The following is a 7,046-nucleotide window of genomic DNA, read 5'->3' as shown; positions in this document are numbered from 1 at the left end:
AGGTCCCCAGGGACAGTGCCTCTGCCGTCCACTCTCTGGCCTTGGATTACTGAACTTCTGGCTGAGGACAGAGAACGTGGTTTCTTTAACCCTCCCCACCCCCAACACCAGCCACGTAAGACCAATGACATCTGGTTTCTCCCTTAAGGGCAAAAATAGTCAGAGAACATTTTAGAGAGTTAGAGAACAATTTGAATGTAAAACTAAATACCTCGTATTTTGAAATAAGTAAAAACTACATCTATAAATAGAACAACATGGTTTTTAGTTGGTCTCCCCTTATTTTTTACTGATCAGTTTCACAACTGTGAGTTTTAAATTCAGAACACAGGACACGCTAAATCAAGCTATGTTAAATAGATCATGGCAAATCAGACCATTCTAACTCAGACCACATCAAAATTACTGGTGACAACAGTTTCTGGTGCCTACAGAGCACGCAGCCTGACACTTGCTATCAGAACCCTGGAGCCATCTCTGCTGCCTCCATTAACCTCATTAACTTAGACATGGCAAAGACTTTAAAAAATACCAAAGGGACTTCTACTTCCATCCAATATGGAGTAACAATGAGACATGTGGAAGGACAGTGAGACATGAGACAAGGTGAATAATGAGGTGAATGCTACAGTTTTTTCAGCTTCCTGCCTTAAGGGAGTTTCCATGCGGCAACAGAAGGGAGATTGACTGGCTTCCCCTCCACCCTTGCTTTCCCAGAGGGATTAGGAGAAACTCCCTACAACCAAGGCTTTTTTTTTTTTTTTTTTTTTGACACAGAGTCTTGCTCTGTCACCAGGCTGGAGTGCAGTGGCATGATCTCGGCTCACTGCAACCTCCACCTTGCGGGCTCAAGCGTTTCTCCTGCCTCAGCCTCCCAACTAGCTGGGACTACAGGCACGCGCCATCACACCCGGCTAATTGTTGTATTTTTAGTAGAGATGGGGAACCAAGGACTTTTATACATGTTTGGCAGATAAGCCAAAAAGGGAAGGGAGAGGTGAGGATACCATGACTTGCTATTGAGGCAGGAGGGCAGGGTTTAGGGAGGCCAGTGCCTCGGATAGCAGAGGCAGGAAACGTAGGAAGAGGTAACAAAAGCCCTTGAAATCCTTGTGTTCAGGATGAAGAAGGTGTGGTCTGGCCTGTGAAAAGGTGGAGCAAGGAAGCACCGTGTTTCCTTTCATTCTGACAGACTGAGCTATCACCCAGGCTGACCCCAGGCCGAGAAACTGGGCATCTTAGAGTCATGTCACTCAACTTTGGAAATTATTTCTGCTGCTCACAGCCAGACTTCTTCAATCTCCCTCCTCCATTCCAAGATACATACAGACACCACACATCAATCCATGCTCAGAAATACAGATGCTGTCCCCATTCGTGTCACATACACACCCAACACACAAAGAAAGTTTGCCTTAAAACATATACACTAGACATATGCACGAAAATAGCATCAGTACCAACAATATGCACACAGAATTCAGATGTACATTTCACCGACTTACAACTAATAACACATATACCGCACAAAATGGTTTTACATCTCAAATATTATGCACAGTGGACATACACCCAAACACGCTGAAAGATACAGGCATCCCAATACTACACATTCCACACATTCCACACATTCATGCACCACATTCACATAGTACAAATAGGAAGAAAAGGTAGAGGCAGCATTCTTACCAGATACACATAAAGGTACTGCCCACCATGCAGATACAGACACCAGCATTCTCACGTAGACACATATCATATACCAACTAACAGATACCACAGAAATACAAATGCGCAATCAGAGACACGTCTCATGAAACATACATGTGCCAGGACATAGCTACCACACTCACCAGGACACAACCAGTACGTATTCCATGTGTGCACCCTCTCTCTCACATATACGCACACTGAAAAGCAAGTGTCCACATAAACACACCCACACATTCACACCCACAACCAGAATACATGGCACCCTTATGGACAAATAGTCATATAGAGCCATACAGATGCAAATGGGCAGATTTCACAAATCTGCCAACACACCCTCTTGCATACAGAAACTTCAACATTGCATGTGAGCTGCCTCTTGTCTTGTTGCTGTCTCTCCAGTTACTATTCCCCAAATACCTTCATTAACCCCTGATTATGGCTGGGTAACCACTTTAGGGTATTTGCAATAACGTTTATAGTCCATGCAAATTCACCAACATGGGCACATGGGGGCAAGAACATTAAAATCATACTTCAAAACTGGAATGAACCATGAGGTGTGATCTTTACAGCCTCCCCATGTCAAAACTAGATGTATTTTCTAGCTGAGAGAGAAGGAGAAGGCAAGACCACCATAGCAGAGGGACTAGTGCAGTCATTCTCCAGGATGTCCAGACAGGGTCATAAGTTCAGTACTGACACATTCCTGGAGACAGAATACATGATCTACTTAAATTGCTGGAAGAAGACAGCACAATAGGTTTGATACTTTAATCACCAAGGCATTCAATAGGATCCTAATATTCCCATCTTCTGTAGTAGTAGTAGAAGCGAGACACTAAGGTGTCTCACTTGCCACCTTGTGAGAACATACAGAGGACCCTTGAACAGATCTCTTTGGTCTTGGCTCCATAGACAAGGGGGTTGACTACAGGTGGTAGCAGCAAGTAGGTATTAGCCATAACCACATGGAGGAGGGAGGTGGGACCACCCAGCCTATGCACCACCGAGAGCCCAATGAGGGGTACATAGAAGACCAGAACAGCACAGAGGTGGGAGATGCAGGTGTTGAAAGCCTTGAGTGCTGCCCTCCGAGAGGACAGCTCCAAAACAGCCCACAGGATGAGGATATATGAGAAGCCAATGAAGAGAGAGTCCACACCCATGACTGAGAGGATGATGAAGAGTCCATAAACCACATTGACCCTGGTGTCAGTACAGGACAGCTTCATAATATCTTGGTGCAGACAGAAGGAGTGTGTGACAGTATGTGTTTGGCAGTAGGACAACCACTTGAGGATGAAGGGCAGTGGGAAGAAGAATACAAACCCCCTGGTCAGGGCAGATAGTCCAATCTTGGCCACAGTACACCCTGTCAGCACAGAAGCATGGCGCAATGGGTGGCAAATGGCCACAAAGCGGTCAAAAGCCATGGCCAGCAGGACAGCTGACTCCACGGCTGACAGAGCATGGATAAGGAACATCTGGGCCAGGCAAATGTTGAACTCGATCTCCTGGATGCCCATCAGGAAAAGACTGGCCATCTTGGGCATGGTGATAGAGGAGAGGACTAGGTCAATAGTGGAAAGCATGGCCAGGAAGAGGTACATGGGCTCATGCAGTCGCCTCTCCACACGAATGATGAGGACAATGGTCAGGTTACCCAGGGTGGCCAAGGCATACATAAAACACAGTGGGAAAGCCAGCCAAAAGTGTATGGTAGGCCCCAGGCCAGGGATACCCACCAAAAGGAAGTATGCTGCGTGGACCAGATTTCCATTTGAAGTGGCTATGATAGGGACCAAGAGCTGGGGCTTCTGCATACAAAATCCAGGGTCTAGGAAAGTAGAAAGGGAAAAGTAGAAACATCATTTAGTTGTGGCTCAGAGGAGAGAAAGGACTAATGAGGAAAAGGCATTGGAGTGGTGACAGTAACAAACAGGACTAAGTCATCCTGGTAATTCTGAACCCTAGTCTCTCTCTGCTCTGATTCTCCTTATATACAACTTCCTGGACATCTTGAGCCTTACCCTGACCCTCCAAGGCCCCAGTGCTGCACAAGCAGATTCTATTACTGTCCCATGAATCTCAGTGTGTGAAGACCCACTCATAAAACATGTAACACAGTCCTGCATCTTCAGAGCTGATGTTGCTGCCCAGGGCACTGCTCTTAGCCTTTTCCCATCAGAGTAGACTTGCAGGATTGCTCAGAATGGTCCACATTGACCAGCTCTTCTGATGTATCCTGGGGTTAGGGTGGGTCTGGGTTCAGATTTAGAGGCTCAGTCTACAGCTGACTTTAAGACCTACTATAATCTAATTTAAGATAGGGAGCAGGGGCTCAGTCTGGGATGAGATTTCAAGAGAGGTTTGTGTTTAGGCCTGAATACCATTTCTCAAACTTTCCTGATAGAAACATCTAAAGTAATTGACAACACCATCCCTCCAGGTCCTGCTCCAGGCCCAGAAAATCAGAATTGCCAGGGCAAGGTTTTGGAAATCTTTTTAAAAAACAATAAGCCCCGCCAGGTACAGTGGCTCACGCCTGTAATCCCAGCACTTTGGGAGGCCGAGGTGGGCAGATCGCAAGGTCAGGGGTTCGAGACCAGCCAGGCCAACATGGTGAAACCCTGCCTCTATTAAAAATGCAAAAGTTAGCCAGGCTTGGTGGAGCGCACCTGTAATCCCAGCTACTCAGGAGGCTGAGGCAGGAGAATCATTTGAACCTGGGCGGCAGAGGCTGCAGTGAGACGAGATCACCCCCACTGCATTCCAGCCTGGGTGACACAGCGAGACACCAACTCAAAAACAAAACAAAACAAATAAACAAACAAAAAACGATAAGCCCCTTTCCCCTAGGAAATTTGTGCTTTAAATCAGAGAACTTTGGGGAAAGTTGTTCTGGTGTTCTTGGGGGCAGGGAGGTGAATGAAGAGGGACTATCATTTCCATTTCCAGCTCCCAAACGAACAATAAGCAGCATCTGCCATCAAGATCTCTCAAGCCCCAGGTGAGAGTCAGTCCCAGGTTGCGCTCAGCAAGAGGAGCATGTCATGGAAATCAGATGCAGCTGAGACATGAACAGAAAATCAGCCAGTGCTGCTGCTGTTACTCCACAGTGTTCACAGGCACACACACCTCTCCCTCCACCTACTCTCCCTGGTGATCACACAACGTCCCAGGCTCAACTTCTTTCTCTCTACAGACCACACTGTTCTAAGCCTGTGTCCTGAGATTCAGCCATATAACCTACCGCCTCCTTGATAGTTCTACCTGGATAGCCTATGGGCCTCCCACTCATCTTGCCTCTAACAGGGACCCCTTCCAAACCTGTTCCTGATCTCAGAGAATGCCACTGCTCAGAACCCACATCACCCAAGTCAGGGCAGCTGGTCTCATCTTGACCCGTCTCCTCTTTCACCCCCACATGCAATTCAACTTTTCCAATTAATTATTGGGGCCGTTCCTCTTAATACACCTCCTCCCAACTTAATTATATTATCCACTCTGCCCTGATTATAAAAAGAGCCTTCCAACTTACCTCCCTGCCTCCAAACCTAGTCTATTCCAAACCACCTTCCACACCACTGCCATCTAAACAGCAAAACTGGACACCTGGGGCTCCTGCTGAGCAAGTTAGGAGTGATTCCCATAGCTTTCCAGATAAAGTGAGAACTAGTAACTCCACAGTATGCAGACAAGGCCCTTCACAGTGTTCCTCTAACTCAACTTTCCAGCCCAGCTTCAGTTTCCTTCTTCATCACCAATCACCACCAGCACCACCACAACACACACGTGCACATACACACACACGTACACACTCACACACATTTTTTTCCTGGTAAAGTAATTCCCCTTGCCTTGCTTAAGTGAAGAGTAGGAGGCAGGAACTGAGGAGTCCTGTCCTGGGACAAAGGATAGGCAAAGCTTGGAACGGGTCTCACAGGCTTGAAGAAATTCCTCTGTGTAGGAACAAGGTCCAGGAACCGGGCTACTGTGATCTGGAAAAGGTGTACACTAGAAGACCTCTCCAAGCAGCCAAGCTGACTGATCAAGTCCCGGCTTCCTTATGCAATGAGCCTTCTGTGCCTGTCTCTGCGGACCCTCCCGTTGCCTAACCTCCCTGGGCTGAGCCTGCTACACTCACCACCAGTGCTTCCCCAGCGCATGGAGGCCGCCCAATTATAGCTTCTCTGGGGCCCCTCAGGAGTGTGTAGAGTGATGGAGAGTGAACGAGTCGGGTCTCCCTGGCACTGACGCTCTGCTCAGACGCCCAAGGAAAGCTGAGCCCTGACTCCTACCCAAAGGGACTGAGCTCTATCACTATCCCTCTGAGCCCAGCTCAAGAGACTAGAGGGAGGCTGTGTCGCGGGGTGGAAAGGAGAAGAGGAATAACGGGGCTGGAAGAGAGGACCTGCTGGAATGGAGGGGTGGGCACTCAGCAGAAAGCACGCAGGGATACCAGCGCTCCGAACACACTAACTACCCAAGGGGATCGAAGCTGTGTCAGGGACTCTCGCTTCTTCATGCTGCCACCTTGTGGTCGCACAGGGGATCTTCAGCCTCGTGGCCGTCCCTGAGCAATGGCTCTGAGGATGATGCCTTTAAGAACCAAGGACCCAACTGACTCTAGCATCTGAGCTCTTTCCACTACTCTGCGCTGCCCCTTAGCTCTCCCTCTCACCCTCTCAAGCCCACCCTTTCTTCCTTGGGTCGCTAATCATAGATGTCCTGTCCCTCCAGAAATGAGACCGTGTGGCATGTTTGTTTGAACATGGGGCTCTAGAAGGAAACAGACTTGGGTCCGCCCATTTATTAATAGTATGACTACTATAAGCATTTAGTGTGAAAGCATTTAATGTGAAAAACGAAATGAGATACTAGCAAGTCTCCAGTGAATGTTTGTGTTCATTATTACTAGTCAAAACAAATGGAAGAGCCAAGGACGTAGGAAATCCAGTAGACAGTGCCACAAAAGAGACAGGAAAAAATATATTGACAAGGAAGATTGGTCAGCAGTTCAGAAAGCTGCCGAGAGATCAAGCAGTGAAAAGACTGAAATCAAAGGTCACTGGCTACCTGGATAACAGGGTGGGGGATGGAATCTTGAGTGAAGCAGTGTGAGGAGTGTGTTAGGAAGAGATGAAGAGAGTCGATGTAGACAACCCTTTTAAGATATTTGTACGTGAACAGAGGAGTGAAATGGACAATATTGGGAGGATTTATAGCTCCACAGAGATTTTAAAATGTGTATTTTGGAACTAGAAGAGACTAAATGTCAACAGGATGGAGTTGGCAGAGAGACTCCTTGTCCTTTACTCCTCACATTACTG

General features: G+C 47.5%; 1 protein-coding gene across 1 annotated transcript; it reads right to left on the bottom strand.

Annotated features, from left to right (window-relative positions):
• Positions 1-266: 266 nt before the first annotated feature.
• Positions 267-5,850, bottom strand: OR51D1 (olfactory receptor family 51 subfamily D member 1). Its single transcript, NM_001004751.3, has 2 exons — positions 5,574-5,850; positions 267-3,550 (listed from the first exon to the last, which is right to left on the bottom strand). Exon 2 carries the CDS (start codon positions 3,534-3,536, stop codon positions 2,562-2,564), a length of 975 nt encoding a protein of 324 aa, NP_001004751.1. The 5' UTR covers positions 3,537-3,550; positions 5,574-5,850; the 3' UTR covers positions 267-2,561.
• Between the last annotated feature and the right edge of the window lie 1,196 nt (positions 5,851-7,046).

The sequence above is a fragment of the Homo sapiens genome, chromosome 11 (genome assembly GCF_000001405.40).
Source record: "Homo sapiens chromosome 11, GRCh38.p14 Primary Assembly".
Taxonomy (NCBI): Eukaryota; Metazoa; Chordata; class Mammalia; order Primates; family Hominidae; genus Homo; species Homo sapiens.
The sequence above is the reverse complement of the archived record's forward strand: the minus strand, read 5'-3'. Positions and strand labels throughout refer to the sequence as shown.